The sequence below is a fragment of the Homo sapiens genome, chromosome 2 (genome assembly GCF_000001405.40).
Source record: "Homo sapiens chromosome 2, GRCh38.p14 Primary Assembly".
Classification (NCBI taxonomy): domain Eukaryota; kingdom Metazoa; phylum Chordata; class Mammalia; order Primates; family Hominidae; genus Homo; species Homo sapiens.
In genome coordinates this window covers 134,001,344-134,022,204 of record NC_000002.12, presented here as the reverse complement: position 1 = coordinate 134,022,204, position 20,861 = coordinate 134,001,344, and the positions used below count along the sequence as shown (strand labels likewise).

General features: G+C 40.2%; 1 long non-coding RNA gene across 2 annotated transcripts in view, besides 1 other annotated feature; it reads left to right on the top strand.

The window, feature by feature from the left end:
• The window catches only part of LOC105373628 (uncharacterized), a 45,070-nt gene that overhangs the window by 9,082 nt on the left and 15,127 nt on the right, over positions 1-20,861 (top strand). The window contains exon 4 of one of the 2 annotated variants that reach the window (XR_923353.2): positions 1,992-3,500. The exons of the other annotated variant lie outside the window; for it this stretch is intronic. This is a non-coding gene — a long non-coding RNA (uncharacterized LOC105373628). Of the gene's footprint in view, positions 1-1,991; positions 3,501-20,861 lie in introns of those variants that run through there. 2 annotated transcript variants of the gene reach the window in all.
• Positions 1,179-1,278: an enhancer, noted in NCBI's record as "active region_16543". NCBI's record gives its function as "activates an Ori minimal core promoter by ATAC-STARR-seq in GM12878 lymphoblastoid cells {active_cell/tissue: GM12878}" and the evidence as "EXISTENCE:reporter gene assay evidence [ECO:0000049][PMID:35858748]".

Genomic DNA, 20,861 nt, shown 5'->3' with positions numbered 1-20,861 from the left:
AGTGAATGACGGAGTTTACCCGAACACCTGAACAGCTGGTATGGCTTTCTTTATCAATTTGGTGTAGTCTGCAGGATCTGTGTCCATGTGGCCCTCGAGGCCAGTGAAGAGGACTGGCATCATAAGGACTAGGGGCACACAGTGAAGCCTCCTGCCATCTAACTTTCAGTTCCTCTTCTGAACTCCTCTTTGCTGTCTGGGGCTGACTCAGTTGTCTCTGGACCTGAACAGTTTCAGTTTGAAAGGCTTTGTCATTTCAATTCTAGGTCATAAATGAAGCCTGCCCTTTGTCTGTCTATTCTCTGTGTCACCTATTTCCACTTACAATATCTTTTCTTTTTTCTTTTCTTTTCTTTTCTTTTTTTTTTGAGACAGAATCTCACTCTATTGCCCAGGATGGAGTGCAGTGTCATGATCTTAGATCACTGCAACCTCCGCATCCTGGATTCAAGGGATTTCTGTGCCTCAGCCTTTCAGGTAGCTGGGATTACAGGTGTACACCACCATGTGGGGCTAATTTTTGTATTTTTAGTAGAGACGAGGTTTCACCATGTTGGCCAGGCTGGTCTTGAACTCATGACCTCAAGTAATCTGCCCACCTCGGCCTCCCAAAGTGTTGAGATTACAGGCGTGAGCCACCGCACCTGGCTACAATATCTTTTCTATAAGACTTTATAAAACATTTGAGCGTCCTGTTTTCATCCCTGGCCTGAATCTGTTGACCATGGGGGCACTTCCTGGTCCAAGGATTTAATAGGGCTTTCCAGCATTGTTTAGTTTTTGCTAATCCATTAGATTGCCTGGTTAGAAAGTTTGTTAAAATATGGAACAAGTACAACCAGGAGGACTCACAATTACGCCTTCTTTTTGATGGGCCATAATGTAGGGAAACCTGAAGAAGATTTATCTTGAGCAGATGGAGGTAAGGTGGAAGTGGGAGGAGAAACTTATATGAGAGACAAAATGCTCAAGTGCTTCCCACACAAATACCCTAGAAAGTCTGCAAATTTGAGTCAACATTGAAGAAGAAGCCTTCTAAGGGGCCTGAAAAAGCCTTTCAGCAGGTTCACTCCCCGTATGCCCACCGGAGTATGCTTCTGCACAGTTTCCTGGCCTCAAGCCATCCCTGAACATTTCACGAAGAACATCTCTTCTTGACCTGTGTGTGTTTTGAATTGAGATTTACTTTGCACATTAATTGCAGCAATGGACTGCAAGTTGAACATGGTATAGACTGATCAGGTCTTCCTACCTGGACCATCTTGAGTGGAAAACTAACAATGACTAAGCCACAAGGACTATCCAGATTTGCCTCTTGCAGAAGTCCTATCTGTCTGTGGGTAGCTGCCCTAATGAGAATTAGCTTAGAGCACTTCCTGCTAAAACCAAAGTCACATTTCCTATGTGGTCACTTTGATGTCTTAATACTTATGTTTACAATAAGCATAAAAGGCACGAAGCCCTTCGTGAATAAACCTCCTTAAACAGGGTGTCTTAGTTCTAGCCCAGAGTCCATGTACCTCTAGATACGTGGTAAAGCAGTCAGGACATTTAACTCTGATGGCAGACTGGTAGCCTACTGTTTGGCTGAGAACTTATGCCACCTTAATGGGTATGCCAGCTTTGTTCATTCTATAATTCCTAATTCTAATATCATCGTCTCCAGGATTCCAACTCAGGTCTCTGTTGTTTATCTGGCCAATACATTATTTTTCCTCACCAGTACATTCCCATTCATAATTCCTCTTACCTTTTCCACCATGACCAATAGCCCACATCAATTACATGGATGAGCTTAGTCAGGGAATTGCTTGAGTTGTTGCAGCTGCTAAAGCTGCTTCTCTCAAGGACCATCTATTTCCTCTTGCCACTTGCCAACCATAAAACAACCATATAACTAAAAGAATGAGGCCCCTGATTAGAAAGAGGCCATCAGGAAAACAGCATGTTGCTTCCTTCACCCTGTTTACAACTTGTTTATGCCCATATAGGCATCCTATGATTCCTAAGTCCCCTCTACCAGTCAATACATCAGTTGGAGGAGACACCTGGGAAAGTGGAGAAGTGGAACAAATCAGAACTGCCTGTGCGTGCCTGGATTTTCCATTACTGCAGCTTGTTATCACATAGAGTTCTCTGCTTGTAATGCAGAGAAGCTGGTGTCAGAAGCCCTTCACCCACTGGCAAATTGAACGCATTGACCTTCTCTTATCAAGTGGTAACCCCATGTCCTATTTGTAATGTGATTATTTTTTGGAAAGTCCAAGACTTTTCCCTCTATCAGTTGTTTCAAACTTTAATGCACATCAGGATCACTTGGAGGACTTTTGTTAAAGCACAGATTTCTCAGCCCCACTTCCAGTTTTTCATGCAGCAAGTCTGGGGCTGAAGAATTTGCATTTCTAGAAAGTGCCCAGGTGATGCTAATATTATTGATCTGGAGACTACATTTTGAGAACCATTGTTCTACAAGAAAGCAGACAGGATTACTTTGCCAAAACATTGGTCCAAACATATATTCCTCAACACAGACTCAGATTAAATCTCAAATGCTACGGGACAAGTTTTACCATTTTTTATATAATAGCTTAAACATTAAATCCGACCGTAGAACCCATAAGCTTGAAAGCTTTTGCAAGGTAGAGAGCAACAATTATGACATTAAGCTAGAATTAAGTGGACTTTTCAATGAAGACTTGAAGGGTCCCAAAACCTTATTAATGATCATAATGACATGTAGTTCTGTAGCCAGAAAGCTCAGTTTAAATAAAATTGTAAGGGGATGGCCCAGGGGGGTTTTAGCTTACCTTCCAGCTGTTTTTGTCCAACACCTAGAATAGCAGTTGGCAAACAACGCCAGCAGGTCAAACCTGGCCTGCCAGCTGTATTTGTATGGCCTGTAAGCAAAGAATGATTTTCCCACTTTTAAATGGTTGTCAAAAAATGACTGTTTCATGAATGTGAAAATTACGTGAAATTCAAATAACAGCCAATTGCAATGATGGTTTCATTAGTACATAAAATTTTATTAGTACACAGCCATTTCTACTGTTTTTGTGTTGTCTATGGCAGAGTTGAGTATTTGCAACAGAGATGATCTGGCCAACAGAGCCTAAAATATTTACCATCTGGTCCTTTACAGAAAACATTTTGCTGACCCCTATGCAAGCAGGAAGGGGATTGTATTGTGGTATCCATTTGCATGAGTGAAGCTCACAAAGAAGCCATAAACAATCCTTAGGAGATGCAGGCCCAGTGGCCTTAGGACTTGGAGCATGGACTGAAAAATTCTAGGTTTTAATAAATATTCCCATCAGATTATTAACCGTCATGGCAATTAGCTGTGTCTGCCAAAAAGACCCTTTCTTTTGGCCCCTTGCCGTGTCCCTCAGTTCCCGGTGTCTGTGCGCTCTTGCTCACTTGCACTTTTGTTTGTTGAGATGGATTTTCGCTCTTGTTGCCCAGGCTGGAGTGCAATGGTGCAATCCTGGTTCACTGCAACCTCCCTCTCCTAGGTTCAAGCAATTCTCTTGCCTCAGCCTCCTGAGTAGCTGGGGTTACAGGCATGCACCACTACGCCCGGCTAATTATTATTATTATTTTTTTTAGTAGAGACAGGGTTTCTCCATGTTGGTCAGGCTGGCCTCGAACTCCCCACCTCAGGTGATCCACCTGCCTCGGCATCCCAAAGTGCTGGGATTAAAGGCGTGAGCCATGGCACACCTGCACTCTTACTCATCTTTACACAATACTCCAGAAAATGGGTTAGTTACCAGTACTCTAAGCTCAGCAACTGCACTGGAAAAAAAGTTAGTGCTGCAGTTGTGTTTATGTACTTACTGATGGTGGTGAGTGGCCCCTTTATGGTCTCACTACAAATATATCATCTTGGAGCAGTGGTGGGTGAAGTCCTCCAGACAGAAACAGAGCTGGCACAGTGCTGAGCAAGATGCTGCATATCCATCAGCGTGGTCACAAAGAGGCCCCTTGAGCTTCACAGGACTGACATAAACCAACCCATGGCTTGGTGGCAAAAGTACAGCCTGACATTCTTCTAGGAATGACCACAGTGGAATACTGAATCATAGCAAATTTCCTGGACACAAACATTCAGCAAAACAACACAGATATTTTTGAATACTGAATAAAATTAGTATTTTGTGATTTCAGGGTCTCGATAATGACTGACTACTTGGAACACTTCCCAGGCAAAGAATTAAAAATATATGTTTTGAATATGAAGCTTCCATTGATAAAGCTATAAAGTACTTCTGCTTGAAAACATTTCCCTAACTTCTGTGTACTTTTGTAACCGTGAAAAATGTGAGGACTTTTTTTACATAAAACTAAAAATTATGAATTAAACTGCTTTAAAAACAAGAATTCTATTTCTCCAGGTTGGTCATCTATTTAAAAGATTTTGATCTGTTAATAAGAGAACACAAGCCACAGAATAAAAAGTCCATGTTCTAGAAATAGCAAAAATATGGTATGGAGCTGTTTTTTTTTTTTTGGTTTAAAAAGTCATTTGTAGATCTTGTTTCTCTAAAATATATTTTTCAAACATGGAGACCTTTGTATACAATCCCTTTTCAACTTCAAAAAGTGGTTAAAAACATTTATATAATAAAAATGATAAATTTAACACTTTACTGTAATATTAAGAATGTGATTTGCTGTTTTTTCTCCATAGGGAAAGAGCGATTGCTTTATGCAAATGTAATGCAAGATGGGATTTCAATTGGAATGTATTGTAATTGTGTTATGCTAGTTGCAATGGTAAGAAATGGTGTCTTTTGTGAATTGGTGCTAGGCAAACTCTAATAATCTAATAAATATGTGCATCTAGAGAAATGTTTCCACTAGAACATTTTATATAAATTTTATTTTATTTGAATAGGTAATACAGTTTCACGGTTAAATAAAATCAAAACAATACAAAAAGGTATGCACTAAAACTTTTGCACTCACTCCTGTTTTCATCCACTCCAGTTTGTTCCCCAGAGGTAATCATTTGTATTAATTTTATGTTTATTATCTTATTGTTTCTTTTTTGCAAATACAAGGAAGTATGAATATTTATTCTTATTTCTCTGCTTTTTCTCATATAAAAAGTAGCATTGTAAAGGCACTGTTAGATACTTTGCTTTCTTCACTTACTATTTAACCTGTAGATTTTTCTTTGTCATATATAGAGAGCCTCCACATTCTTTCTTTAGCCATATAGTACTCCGTCCTGTGGCTACAGTGACCTCTTCAATTGATCTCATTGCAAGATCTTGCTTGTTTACAACCTTTTGCTATTGTGCTTTTAAGAACGTTTAAAATTTTTCCTGTGTAGGCTTTGCACATTTCCTCTTAAGCAATGGTTTTTATTTATATGTAGTTCTTTCTCTTGTTCTGAGTAAAATTTTAAGGTGTAATACTGTCACATTTTTCTAATATCTGTTTATTAAGCAATGTATTTTATCTGGTTATATTTTGTTATATTTCCTAATATTCTTAATTTGCTTTTAGAAGTCTAAACTTACATGATATTATAGTACTAAACATATTTGTTTAAAGGCTTCTTAGAATGTGGCATTCCATGGCCGGCGCTGTGGTTCACAACTGCAATCCCAGTACTTTGGGAGGCCGAGGTGGGCGGATCACGAGGTCAAGAGATCAAGACCATCCTGGCCAACATGGTGAAATCCCATGTCCACTAAAAATACAAAAATTAGCTGGGTGTGGTAGCACGTGCCTATAGTCCCAGCTACTCAGGAGGCTGAGGCAGGAGAATTGCTTGAACCCGGGAGGTGGAGGTTCCAGTGAACCGAGATCGCGCCACTGTACTCCAGCCTGGCGAGAGTGAGACTCAGTCTCAAAAAAAAAAATTTTTGGCATTCCATACTAGGACTGCCTTTAATTTAAAATAAGATTCCTAATTAGCTGCATGTGGTGGTGCATGCCTATAGTCCCAGCTACTCAGGAGGCTGAGGTGGGAGGATCACCTCACCCTGGGAAGGTCAAGGCTGTGATGAGCTGTGATCATGCCACCACTGTATTCCAGCCTGAGCAACTGCGTGAGACTCTGTCTCAAAAAAAGTAAGATTCCTAAGAATATATTCCTGATATACTCTATGAAGTAATACTCTCATACACAGTCATAATAACTTGTGTTTACATGTATCCTTCCTTGGTTATCACATGGAATTCCAAGACACTACGATTCTCTGTAAAATGAGCAAAAGGAAAATTAAAGACTTTAACTGGTGCTGATCCAAAATAACACAAATTAGAAGAATGATTTTGATTTATGAACTATAAACTTTAGGATAATAATATTTTATATAATTTTTTAGGTAAGAGAATATTTATTGCTCTTTACAAAAAGAGGAAAATTAGTTCAGAAAAGGTATACAGATAATATAAAAATTCTAATATCAGATCAGAATTCCATAAAGTCAAATTTTAACTGAATATTCAATGTCTAATATGACTAGAAATTGAACAGTAGAATGCACAATTGGTTTGCATATCAGGATCTTATGTTTATGACTCTTCAGATATGACCCTGCATTTACTAATTGTGGATGGCCCAGAGGTGCCTAAACTCTTATAAATGACTTTCCACATATCTCTTAAAGTGGTGGGACAGGACTAATTTCTACTCTACTGTACTAGCTGAATATTGCTACTGAGAAAATACTATCAATAGTAGTCAAAGCTACTCTCTTTTGAAAACTTAGAACTACCATCTGTCAGAATGTCAACACCTTTGTTGAAAAATAAAGGGAAATAATGAGACTATAGAAAACTTCAGATAAGTATTTTAAAAAGCAACAAAGAATGTGGGATAATGAGTGACTTTAAAATTCATTCATTCAACAATATTTATTGACAACTATTATTGGGCACGAATACAAAGAGTTCTGGGAATACACCAGAATACAAATTAACGGGACTGCCATTCTTACTGAGATGTGTTCTAAGGGTAAAAAAGAAGCAATTACTCTATTGAGCTTCACTGAGTAGGATCACTGTTTGTATTAATATTGGTACTGCTATTTTGAAATTTATTTATTGTCAATTAAAGGAAATACGGCAATTATTTTTTCTAGGAATAAGATTTTTGATATAAGTTAATATAAACTATTACTAAATAATCTAGTATAAATACATACAGGCACACATAAAGACATTAGTTTACTTTCCATTGGTAGGATGATATCATAGATTGTGACTTTAAGTCAGACAAAGCTGTAGAAAATGTTCGAAGCTCAACTGGATGTAATGGTAAATGTCAGTAACAGTAGTAAAGTAGTTGGAAGTATAAAAGAATGCAACAGTTTATAAAATTCTAAGGTCTTTAGTCTTAGATCGAAAAGATATTTACATATTTAAGAACTCCAAAAATTTTATAGGCCAAAGTTCCCATTTTAGTGGAAAATTTTTCAACATGTAAGTGGCTTTACTCATCAAATTTCAACCATAGACATCAGTTTCTTGGAATGTGCTTGACTAAATATTTAAAACAATCATACCAATGAAAACCACCAGAAATGTTACACAAAATATAATTTAAAAATATTCTTAAAAGCACTGAGGAGCCAACACAGGAATGAATAATTTTCAGGCCAAAATCTCAGTGAGAAAAAAAGTACAGAAGGCAGCATAAAGAGACAGGGAGATGGTAAATATGAAAAAATAATTAAGATACATGGAGGATAGAATGATAAGGTCTAACACACATGTAACTGGACTTCCAGAAATAGAGGAGATGGAGAATGTGATGGAGGCAATGTTGTAGAAGGTAATTCTTGAGACTATTGCCCAACTGATGAAAGATACCAATCGACTGATTCAAGAAATACAACAAATCATCTCAAGATTAAAAAGAAAGGAAAGAAACTCACATCTACAGAAAACTAATGACAAAGAAACTACTTAAAAGCAGACCAAGAGCAAAGACAGATCACTATCAAAGGAGATGCAGGTAGACTGACAGCTGACTTCTCAACAGCAAACATGGAGGGCAAAAAAACATCTCCTCAATGTGGTGGAAGAAAACAGCTGCCAAATTATAATTCTGTACACAGTGAAAATATCTTTTAAGTATGAGGGCAAAATCAAGAGGTATCACTTTTGGCATCTACTATAGATGTAGTGCAGACTGTAAGGAAGTCCTAAAGAACTGCACAGAGATGCAGGCCAGATATCTCAGGCCTCATATTGTGGACTGGGAGGCCATTGGGTTTTAGTATGTCCTGTATATTTCTTAATGATCTTTGCTTGCTCTTGTAGCTTGTTATCACTTGCCAGGAAAAAATGCTTCCTCTCATACTGAATGTCCTTGACCTGATAGATGATTACTATATGACTTTTCCCTGTGTTATTCAAAGAGAGCACTGTAAACTTGGTGTGCTAAGATGGAGAGATAACATTCTATAGAAGAAATCTGCCTGCCCTCCTCATCCCCCAACAAAAAAGCTGCATGTCACAGATACTGTTGATTCAGAACTTGGAAAACAAGTAAGAATCATCTTTTACTTGGCTTGAACAAATAGTGTGACCCTTTTCAAAAGTCACTTATAAGTGGGCTTTACAAACAGCTCTTTAGAAATTACTAACCTAGGCTCTATTTTAAGAGAACATCACAGAACGTCTTGCCATATTATAATATTTTGCTATGCTCAGCTTGCTTCTTAATTCAGTGTACCTAAAAGAATCAATCCACTGTTGTATTTCTAGATTTAAATCATGTGTCTAGAAAGGCCAGTCAAGGAACTGGGTGTACAAGTAGTAGAGATTCTGCATTGCATGTGCTTGCTTTGTTCCTTCCTGTATGAGGCTTTTTAGTTAATAACAAAGTCTTCCTCAAAGCCTTGTGTCTGAGGTCTTACAACAGACACCAGGCTTTTCTATAACAATTCATCAAAATTATTCTTGAGAAGTTTAATAAGCCCATGATAGAGTGGCTAAGACCCCAAGGTCTTCAAGGGAAAAAACATAATCTGCAAACCACCTTCAAAGGAAGATGAGCTGTGTGACAGAAGAGACCCTCATTTTGCCCTGACCAGGTAGCTGAGGTGAATTGCTCTGTATAGTGGAAAGGGGTGAGAAAAGAGGGGTGTATATGAGAATCTGGGAGTGAAGAGAGAAGAACCAGTGAGGATCAGGATACAGATTAGGAAACAAAAACAACCGAACGCCTTGGGAGAATATATTTACTATTCTGGGGTGAGGGCTCTTAATCTTTTTTTTTTTTTTTTTTTTGACATGCAGTCTCCCTGTCGCCCAGGCTGGAGTGCAGTGGCGTGATCTTGGCTCACTGCAACCTCCACCTCTTGGATTCAAGTGATTCTCCTGCCTCAGCCTCCCTGAGTGGCTGGGACTACAGGCATGTGCCACCACACTGTTAATTTTTTTTTGTATTTTTAGTAGAGACGAGGTTTCACCATGTTGGCCAGGCTGGTCTCCCAACTCTTGACCTCAGATGATCTGCCCGCCTCAATCTTAACTTTTTATGTGCCATGTCGCCCTTTGGCAGCCTGGTAAACATACAGATCCCTTTCCATGCAGAAAATAAAATACATAGGTTTACAAAGCAAACATGACATTGAAATACAGTTATCAAAATATAAAAAGAAACAAATTTGAGATAGAACAACATATGCACTTTGTTATTAACACTTTACATAAAAAGATCTAGAAGTGGGTCTAATGGCCACCATATAGTTTGAAGTAGTGGTGAGCATAGATAACATATTTCCAGATACAACAACTGTAATATGATATTAAAAAAAAATCTGTGGTTTCTGTTGCTGAGAAAGCCACAGCTACAGCTTACATAGTTGCCTACTTTAATATCAGAAGGAAGTGCTTAACTTCAGTATTTTTGTCCAACCAAGGTCATAGACCCTAGATAACTTCTGCTGTAGGGATAATATAAATTTCCTCCTTCTCCATGTTAAGTCTCTAGCAAGTATTACACTGAAAGGCAATGCTTCCATGGGAGCGGATTCTCTTGGGGGGCCTGGTCTCCTGCCAACTCTCAATGCCAAGGCATTTACCAAGGGCTCTGTGGACCACGGCGCTGGCCTGCGGTAGGTGGAGTTGGGGCCCCTGCTTGTGATCTTGCATACTCATAATCAGGTGACTCGTTAAAAACACACAACGAATATCTGCTTATAAGAGAAATGCACTTAAAGACCAGAAAACAGTAGATTAAATATTTTCCCTAAAGTATGTTAAGAGCCTGTAACAGGAAGGCTAAAAGGGGTGATTCCTTCCACCTCTTCCTATCAGCGAGGCACTTTTAACATCTCAAAACATTTTTCCATCCATTATCTAACTTGTTTTTCACAACCACCCTGTGGTTGGCAATGCAGCTCTTATTCTTTTGCTTATATATATATACACACACAAAAATTCAATATGGAATAATCAGTAGTATTTCTGAGAAGACTACAACTATTCCATGCTCAGAGGGAATATTTAAATGAAATGAAATATTTAACGTATAGTCTCCCCTTGCTGCTAAAGAAGAGAAAAGGCAGTACTAAGTGCTTATTAAAGGAGAACACGTTTTTGGAAAGTATGTGCTTATGAAAAATTCAAACAATACAGAAGCATTGAAGAGATCACTTAAAAATTTTCACTCCCCCTAATAAAAATACATCAGAGAAACGGTATCAGACAGAGCCCAGTTAAGGGACAGAAATAACTACAGTTATTTAAACATAGACAATTCAATCTACAGAATTATTAATTAGGTCCAAAGTTGTTAACGAGGTAACTGGAAAGGTAGAAAGATAACCAGAAGGCAGGGGTCCGCAAACTATGACCCGTGGGCCAAATCCGGCCTGCGCCTGTTTTTGTAAATGAAGCTTTATTAGAACACAGCCATGCTCATTTGTTTACATATGGTTTATGTCTGCTTTTGTGCTGTCACAACAGAGTTAAATAGTCTCAACAGAGATTATATGGCTTCCAAATTCTAAAATATCGATTATCTATCTAGCTCTTTGCCAGAGAGGTTTGCTGACCCCTGCTCAGTACCGAGGTATCAAGGAGGTAGTGACTGTAGAAAGCAGCTTCTACTTCCAGGACTGCGTGAACAAAGACATAGGGCTGGAAACTCCTTCTAAAACTTAGAAGCTTGGAGGAGTTAAAACTCAGACTCTGAGGAGGGGCCACTGTTGGCTGCTGCTGGTGTCTCTTAGGGAGAGGAGGCCTGCAAGTGCAGGAAAGCTGTGGCCCATTTCCATTTGAGTGAGTGAAGAAATGAAGCACGAGAGAACTGCATTAGACCACATGGCCTGAGCTCCAGTTCTTCTTGAAGATGGAATTTCAGCACTGGTTTAAAAGAAAGGAGAGAGGGTGGCAGGACATGGCATGGGAAGGGCATTCTTGCTTAGGGAATGTCTTATAGGGAATATGCAGTGCAGGAATAGAGCTTGGAAGAGAGAATGAAAGCTCCTCAGACCCCCATGCTCAGGTCACTGTCCACACAGGTGAAACTGTGATCTCTGCGCATGGCCCCGAGGCATCAGTATTTTCTTTTTCTTTTTTTTAAACAAACACCTAATGTTTATTAATAAATCAGTACACTTGAAGGCATTTTTCTGTTATCAGTCCTTCACCACTACCCACAAACCCCACCCACACAAAGGGAGTCCACGCCACCTTTGCATTGGAATCTGACAACTGAGCATTAGAAGGTACATTTGTAAATGGGAGCATAGTTGCAAATATATCAGACAAGGGTTCTTACAGCTGCAGCCATTTTTAATTAAAGTAATTGGTGAAGGAAGCAAGGTATCAGTATTTTCGAAAGCTCTCCAAGTGATTCCAGCTTGTGGCCAAGGCTGAGACCAATGCTTGAAACCGTGAAATGCTTGTGCTCAAGTTCACAGAAGTGCTTCCTCTCCTCTTCCTGCCTCACTCGTGGAGTCTTCCCATGTTGGAAGGAGTCCATTGTTTTTGGGCAGAGGTGGCTGCTTCTGCATCTGGTGGGCAGGTGGCAATGGTTGGCTGGGAAGCAGCAGCTCCGTATCCCTCACAAACAACCTCAGGCGTGCCTGTTTCTGGTGCTGAGGCCGCCAGGAGCGAGCGGGCTTTCCCTGCGCTACTTGCTAAGAGCAGTGTGGCTCCTTCTCCCGTGTCCCCAGCGCCGTCAAGCCCCAGAGTGAAGCTGTGGCTCCTTCTCCCGTGTCCCCAGCGCCGTCAAGCCCCAGAGTGAAGCTGTGGCTCCTTCTCCCGTGTCCCCAGCGCCGTCAAGCCCCAGAGTGAAGCTGTGGCTCCTTCTCCCGTGTCCCCAGCGCCGTCAAGCCCCAGAGTGAAGCTGTGGCTCCTTCTCCCGTGTCCCCAGCGCCGTCAAGCCCCAGAGTGAAGCTGTGGCTCCTTCTCCCGTGTCCCCAGCGCCGTCAAGCCCCAGAGTGAAGCTCCTTTCAGAGCAGCAGCATTTGTGTAATGAAGGCAAAATAAACCTTCCTGAGGGAGGAAAACTCCTATGCAAGAGGAGGCAGGGGCAGCCAAGTCACAGGCCCAGGTAGCTCTGAATGCAGGACCTGAGGGGGTGGATTCGCTAAGCTGCACAACCCCCAGGGCCTTTGTCGGCCTCGCTGATGCTTTCCAGCCGGGAGAATACACTGAGCGATGGACTGAAAAAGCAAGTCTGCTTCTTCCTTAAATTTTTTTTTCCACAACAGAAGTGCTATATGGTCATTGTAAAACAAATGTTTTTTGGGAAAATACTGAAAAGCACAAAGTAGAAAATGATTATCTGTCATTCCTTCCACGACCCAGATATAACTACAGGTAGAATTTTGGGGTAATCAGCCTGAACATTCAATGCATACAAAAAATGTAATATAGACATAGCAAAATTTGCATCCTGTTTTAAAAATGTAATATACTTTGAGCATTGTCAACTGCACTATTATTTTTAATGGCTTGTTGGTTCTATCATCATATCACACAGCTTTATTTAATCATTTCTCTGTTTGTGGATGCCTGGGTTGTTTTTATTTTTCATTCTCCATAAATAATACCACAAGAAACATCCTTACAGATAAGTCTTGACCACTTACTCGATTATTTTTAAGTTCCTCTTAAGTTCCAAGCTGTGGGCTTGCATGCCTTCTGCCTGGAGCTCTTCTGCCTCCAGGCTCTTTACTTAGTTAATCTTTGTTTATCCCTTCAAGTCTGAGCTTAGGATGTCAGTTCTTCCAGGAGCCTTCCTGACCTCAAGGCTAAAGAAATAGCTTTCCACATGGATCTTTTGGTTATGAACCTTGGTAGCACTTTGCTCTTTTCCTTTACAACACTAACACATTTATTTCTGTCTTGTTTCCTATCAGGCCCCCAAACTTTGAATAGCACTGGGCCCGTGGTAGGTATCCAAGCATTTGCTGATTAGATACATACATACATATGTCAACCTTTCTTTTTTTTCTTTTTCTTTTTTTTTTTTTTTTGAGACAGAGTCTCTCTCTGTTGCCCAGGTTGGAATGTAGTGGCATGATTTCAGCTCACTGCAAACTCCGGCTCCCGGGTTCAAGCGATTCTTGTGCCTCAGCCTCCCAAGTAGCTGGGATAACAGGAGCGTGCCACCATGCCCAGCTAATTTCTGTATTTTTAGTAGAGACAGGGTTTCACCACATTGGCCAAGCTGGTCTCGAACTCCTGACCTCAAGTGATCTGGCCGCCTGGGCCTCCCAAAATGCTGGAATTCCAGGCATGAACCACCGTGCCCAGCTATACATCAACGTTCCTAAGCTGGGTTTTTAGGTATCTTTTCATCTTCCACAGAGGCAAAGCTGTAGAAGACTGATTTAGCCTCTGTTTCACTCACAATCCCAAGGTTTCAATGAATAGGCTACAGGTAATGAAGCCAAGACCGGGGACAGATCACCCCAAATGTTAAGTTAGCTAACTGTGCTTATTTGATGGCCAAAGTCAGCTTCTCCAACCCAGCCTAGTAAGCTCAGAAAGCATGCCTTGGTTTCCCGAAGGACAAATTTACCTTTACTAGAGGAAAATATCTGTCCATCCGTCCATCCATCTTGTATAGATTGATTATATTTCCTTCCTTCCTTCCTTCCTTCCTTCCTTCCTTCCTTCCTTCCTTCCTCCCTCCCTCCCTCCCTCCCTCCCTCCCTCCCTCCCTCCCTTCCTTCCTTCCTTCCTTCCTTCTCCCTCCCTCCCTCCCTGCTTCCCTTCCCTTCCCTTCCCTTTCCTTCCTTTCCCTTCCCTCTCTCCTTGAGACACAGTCTCATTCTGTTTCCCAGATTGGAGTGCAGTGGCACAATCATGGCTCACTACAGCCTTGACTTCCCAGGCTCAATGGATTCTCCCACCTCAGTCTCCTGAGTAGCTGGGACTACGAGTGTTTACCACCATGCCTGGCTAATTTTTTTTTTTTTTTAGAAACGCGGCTTTGCCATGTTGCAGGGAGGCTGGTCTCGAACTCCTGGGCTCAAGCGATCCTCCTGCCTCAGCATCCCAAAGTGGTAGGATTATAGGCATGAGCCATTGTGCCCAGCCTTATATATTATTTCTTTACTCAACAAATATTTTTTGAGTGCCTACCATGTCCCAGGCATGGTTCAAGTTTCATTGAAAATGGTGGCTAAATCTCTTTCCATTTGGAGCTTATAGTTCATATAGTATGTGGAAAGCACTGTGCTATTCTCTAAATATCCTCTAAATATTCTCTAAATATTCTCTAAATATCCACTGAGTAAAGGATACAGTTCCTACTCCCAAGGAACTTACAGTCTACTGAAGATTTATGGCAAGCACACAAGTAGCTGTGCCACTAGTTGAAGGTGATATGAAAGCTGGAAACTAAGAATTACGGGAGAGTAAAATATTTCCTTCTTTGTCTGTTTTTTCTGAAGGAATTTCCATGTCTGTATACAGCTTCAACTCTTGGTCCAGTGGTGGGAACAGCATTCAAGCTGATCCATACTCTCTGGCTTTAGTTGATGGGTCTAGGGAAGGAGGCTGATCCTAACTTGACCAATTTGCTTCCTTCTCTGAGATATTTCAGAATAAAATTAAGAGGTTCTGTTTCTTCCTAGGACTGCACATTTTAAGAGGCAAAGTTCTCAGGAGCTGTAGGCAGCCATATTTCCTGCCACATGGATGTGCCAATCTAAACAACAGAGAGGGAGACTTTCTAAAAGAAAATTATATTTGGGAATAGGCATTGCAATGGGGAGATGCGTGCTATGGAAAACTATGTGCACTTTCAGGGAGATAAAGGAAGACAAAGAATTTTAAAGGAAAAATGAGGAAGATTACATAATAGTTTTGAGATATTATCTTTGGCTACAAGGATTAATAACAAGAGTGACACCAGACCTAGGTTGGACAGGTAGTTGGTGGGCAGATGTCCTAGCAGGAGTATTTTTTTGTGTAAGGTTGCGATGTCCTTTGTGCAAGGTTGTGGTTTTTGCAGAGTCTTTTGTGATAGTTCTTGTCATCAGGCTTTCATGGTTGAGAACCTCCCTTCGTGACCTTCCTTGTCTCTGTATGTCAGAATTTTTAAGACAAGTGACTCCATTTTGATTCTGACAACTTTCATGGAATAAAATGGGCTTCAGTGAGAAAGAATGTATCCTAAGTGAAGACAGAGTTAGGAGATGGAGCGTCTGGGGACCTTTTATTCCATAGTCCCAGTTGTACCCGCAGCCTAGCTGTAGCTTCTCCCTTTTTAGGTTTTGCTTGTTCAAAGCTTTCGTGTATTCCATTGGCCAATATATTCACTTCTGATACTTATTAGGTAAGCTTGCACCTAACCAAAAGACCCTTTTCTAAATTGGAAGGCTTTCTGGAGCAGGTGACATTTGACCTGAACCTTAAAGGTTTCAGAGGACTTAGATGTTTTAAGTTTTGCCTTTTGGTCCAAGCCTGAACTTCAAACAAACAAACAAGTCACATTTTGATGGTTGTTTTGTACTTAAAAAATTAAAATAATCTCTTTCCCCCAATAATATTGAAAGTAGGAAAATGTCAGCCTGAACTACCAAAAAAAAAAAATAAATAAAGTCACATTTTGATGGTTGTTTTGTACTTAAAAATTAAAATAGGCTGGGCGCGGTGGCTCACGCCTGTAATCCCAGCACTTCAGGAGGCTGAGGTGGGCTGGTCATGAGGTCAGGAGTTTGAGACCAGCTTGGCCAACATAGTGAAACTCTGTCTCTACTAAAAATACAAAAAATTAGCCAGGCGTGGTGGTGGGCGTCTGTAATCCCAGCTACTCAGGAGGCTGAGTCAGGAGAATTACTTGAAGCCAGGAGTCAGAGGTTGCAGTGAGCCGAGATCGCACCACTGCACTCCAGCCTGGGCAACAGTGTGAGACTCCGTCTCAAAAATAAATAAAATAAAATAAAATAAAATAAATCTCTTTCCCCCAATAATATTGAAAGTAGGAAAATGTCAAATAATATAGAAAAATTTAATGTTTACCCCCATCACCTCATAGTCCTCATAACCCTTCAGAAATAACAACTGTTAATTTGGGATGATCATTTAATAAACAGTGATCTATAGTGTGCTGTTTTCTCAATATAAGCATTTAAAAAATGTTTTTGGTTTTTGAAAAAACTTTACTTGGAAATAATTTCAAATTTACAAAAATTTGTAAAATTAAAAATACTACAATGAAAAGAAATCCTACCTGATATATCTTATTTTAGTTATTTATTTATTATTTATTATTATTTTTTCAGACAGGGTCTTGCCGTGTCACCCAGGCTGGAGTGCAGTGGTGTGATCATGGCTCACTGCAGCCTCAGCTGGGCTCATGTGATCCTCCCACTTCAGCCTACCAAACAGCTTGGACTATAGGTGTGTACCACCATGCCTGGCTAATTTTTGAATTTTTTGTAAAGTTAAGGTGTTACTATATTGGCCAGGCTGGTCTGAAACTCCTCCTGCCTTGGCCTTCCAAAGTGCTGGGATTACAGGAGTGAGCCACTGTGCCTGGCCTCATCTTATATGTATTTTTTATTGTTCACCTTTGAGTCATTGGAAGGCAAATTATATACATTATGGACCTTCACCTCTCAATTCTGTAGGGTATGTATTCCAAGAATAGGAGTAATCTGTCACATAATTACAGTGCAATTGTCACCTTCATAAATTTCCACTGATTGATAGAATAATGTTATCTAACTTATTGTCTATATTCCAGTTTTTTCAGTTGTTCTAATAATATCATGTATAGCATTCTTCCCTTCTGGTGTATGATTCAATGTAGGGTCAGGTATTGTTTTTAGCTGTCACGTCTCCACAGCCTCCTTTAATCTGGAACTTTTTCACAGCCTTTCTTTGTATTTTACAATATTTACATGTTTTTAAAATAGAAAGTTCCTTGTTTTATGTTTCCCTGATATTTCCTAGTGATTAGATTGATTATATTCTGCATTCTCTGCCAGAATACTGCATAGGTGATGTGTCCTTTTCAGGGGATAACATCTGGAAGTATAATTTAACTGCAGGAAAATGCATGAATCATAAGTGTACAGCTTGATGACTTTTTGCATATTTACATACCTGTATAACTAACAAGATCAAAATCAAGAATATTTCCATCCGCTCAGGGAGTTTTGTTGTGCTGCTTCCTGTAAAGGCCCACTCTTCCCTCTCTACCCAAAGGTAGCCCCTCTTCTTCCTTCTAACATCATATATTAGTTTTTCATGTTTTGGGATTTCATATAAAATGAATTATACAGTCAGTATTATTTTATGTCTTACTTCTTCATTTTTTTTTTTTTCCTGAGACGGAGTCTCACTTTGTTGCCCAGGATGGAGTGCAGTGGGATTATCTTGGCTCACTGCAACCTCCACCTCCTGAGTTCAAGTGATTCTCCTGCCTCAGCCTCCCAAGTAGCTGGGATTACAGACTCCCACCACCATGCCTGGCTAATTTTTGTATTTTTAGTAGAGACTGGATTTCACCATGTTGGCCATGGCTGGTCTTGAACTCCTGACCTCAGGTATTCCACCTGCCTCGGCCTTCCAAAGTGCTGGGATTACAGGCGTGAGCCATCGTGCCAGGTCTGTCTTACTTACCTCTTTCATCTAATATGTTGTTTTTGAGTTTCTACTACATTGATGCATAGATCCACAGTTTGTTTTTTTCCTCTACCATTTAGTATTCCATTGCATGAATACATTGCAGTTTGTTTATCCATTTTCCTTTTGCTGGAGAATGTTTTCAGTTTTTGGTCATTATAAATAAAATTTTTATAAAAAACCCTTTATAAGCCTTTTGTGGATATATATTTTCTATATCTTTATATGTTGGAATCCAATTGCTAGACCATACAGAAAGCTTATGTTTACATTTTTAAGGAAGTGCTAAATAGTTTCCAAAAGTGCTTTTACCATTTTACACTCATAACAGGTGTTTATGAGAATTCTAATGGCTCCACATTCTAACCAATGCTTGCAGTACTCAGTCTTTTTTATTTTAGCTCATTCTGGTGATAATATAGTAGCATCTCTTTGTGGGTTTTCTTTGCATTTCCCTGATCAATTTTAAGCATCTTCCTATAAGCTTTTTGGTCACCTGGATAGCTTTTTTTGTGAAATGCCTTCTCAAGTCTTTGGCATATTGTGTTAATTGGGCAGTATGGTTTCTGTTACTGATTTCTAAGAGTTCTTTACATATTTTGGACACAAGTTATATCATATATGTGTGTATATATATATTATATATATTTATGGTGAATATTTTCTCTCAGCTTATCTTTTAATTCTTTTAATGGTATCTTTTCATGGACAAAAGTCTTTCACTTTGACCAAGTTCAATTTATCAATTAAAAAAATAAATTGCAGCTTTCACATTTCACATAGCCATCTCAAATTAATTTTTGCATATGGTGAGAAATAAGGGCCAAGGTTCCATCCTGTGTCGGTTCTAGGCCCTGCCTCTAGCAGGGCTCTGGACTCTGAGCTCCTCATGCTGTGGGTGTTTCCTCTCTCCAGCCTGGTCCAGCTTCTCTCACTGCTGTGACTGCATGGCCAGCAGTTGTGGTGGACATAGAGAATTAGCTCTGCATTTCAAGCTCTTACAGATTCCAATCAGTCTTGCCAGCCCACAGGTTGTTCTAAGCTCAGCTAGTTTCTCCTCATTTTTGTAAAGTCCCTGTGCCTATGGCAGGCTGGATTCTCCACATACTCAGCAGACCCCTCTAGGGAGGAGAGCAGCCTCTGACCTCTTTTCACCTAGGAGGGCCTCCTTCACCAGCACTCTGTTCCTTTAGACTTCTTTGCTTCCACAACTCTCTGATGTCATTTACTCATTTAGCTTATTTATGCTTTTCCGAGTTGTTATAGTGAGTGTGATGACCCATTGCAACTGTCCACATCATCACTGAAAGCTAGAGACATAGTTCCATGACTTTCAATTACCATCTACAGAGTAACAATTCTCCTATTTTTATTTTGAGCCAGAACTTGGCTAATGAGTCCCAGACCTTTATCTCTGGTTATCCTAATGTTTTATAAGCCTCTTAAATGTACATACCTGAGATGGGATTCATCATCTTTCCCTGTAAAACAGCTGCTACCTGGAATTTGTTGTCTTGGTGATCACCATTCCCACCCACCTAGTCACCCAATTCCTGAACTTGTTGACTCTTTCTCCCTCACCACCCACATCAATGAGTTACTAATTTCACTGGAACCTATCTTGGAAAACCTCATATATCTCAATGCCTTGATTCCCCTGCCACCGTGCTGCTCAAGGCCCTCACAGTCCCTGGTCAGAACAATTGCAATCTCTTCCTAACTGAACCCTAGTCTCAGTCTCTCTCTCTCCTTCTCCTCACATTATTTTCCTTACTACTTGCAAACTGACCTTTTGACCAGGCATGGTGGCTCACACCTGTAAGCTCAGCACTTTGGGAGGCAGAGGCAGGCGGATCACTTGAGGTCAGTTCAAGACCAGCCTGGGCAACATGGTGAAACGCTGTCTCTAATAAAAATACAAAAATTAGCCAGGTGTGGTGGCACGTGCCACCTGTAATCCCACCTACTTGGGAAGCTGAGGCAGGAGAATTGCTTGAACCCAGGAGGCGGAGGTTGCAATGAGCCGAGATTGCACCACTGCACTCCAGCTTGGGTGACAGAGTGAGACTCAGTCTCAAAAAAAAATAAAAATAGGAGTGATTTTTAAAAATAAATATCTTTTTGATATGCAGAAGTAGCTAAAATAAATACACATCTCTTTGAATACTCATACGTGATGGAGTCACTCCAAGGCTTTAAAATTCCTGATAGCTCTCTTAATTTTCACAGAATAAAGTATAAATCTTACAGAATTCAAAGTCCCTCCTAGCCCAAGCCCATTTTTCTAATCATGTGTTCAGTCAGTCCCACATTGATGACTGAGGGCCAGTGCTGTGCAGCATGGTAGGATGGGGTGCCATTCACATTGTATTTCTATATGAATGGCAATGCCATTCATGCCATTAGAGTTTTGCAGTGAAATATCCCAGTTATTCTCCAGCAGCTCTGGATTGCTCTAGGTTCTCTGAAAATAAAATGTTCATTCATACCTTTTCACTGTTTTCTCAACAGCCTTCCTTAGTTTCACCACTGGCAAAATTCCTCTTTCTACTCCAAGAGCCAGCTCAGGTGACTCCAAGACCTTTTAGGATTTTCTGTAGCCACTCAGCCAATACAAAATAATAAGTTATTCCATTATTTGAGTTCCATTATAAATGCCATTCCACACTGTATTACAAGTTTGGTTTATATATCTGTCTCTCCTGCTAGACAGTCGGGTTTTAAGGGGAAGTTTATGCAGTCAAGCACCCTCAACTGTTAGGCTGAGTACATCTTTGCTAATTTGAGTT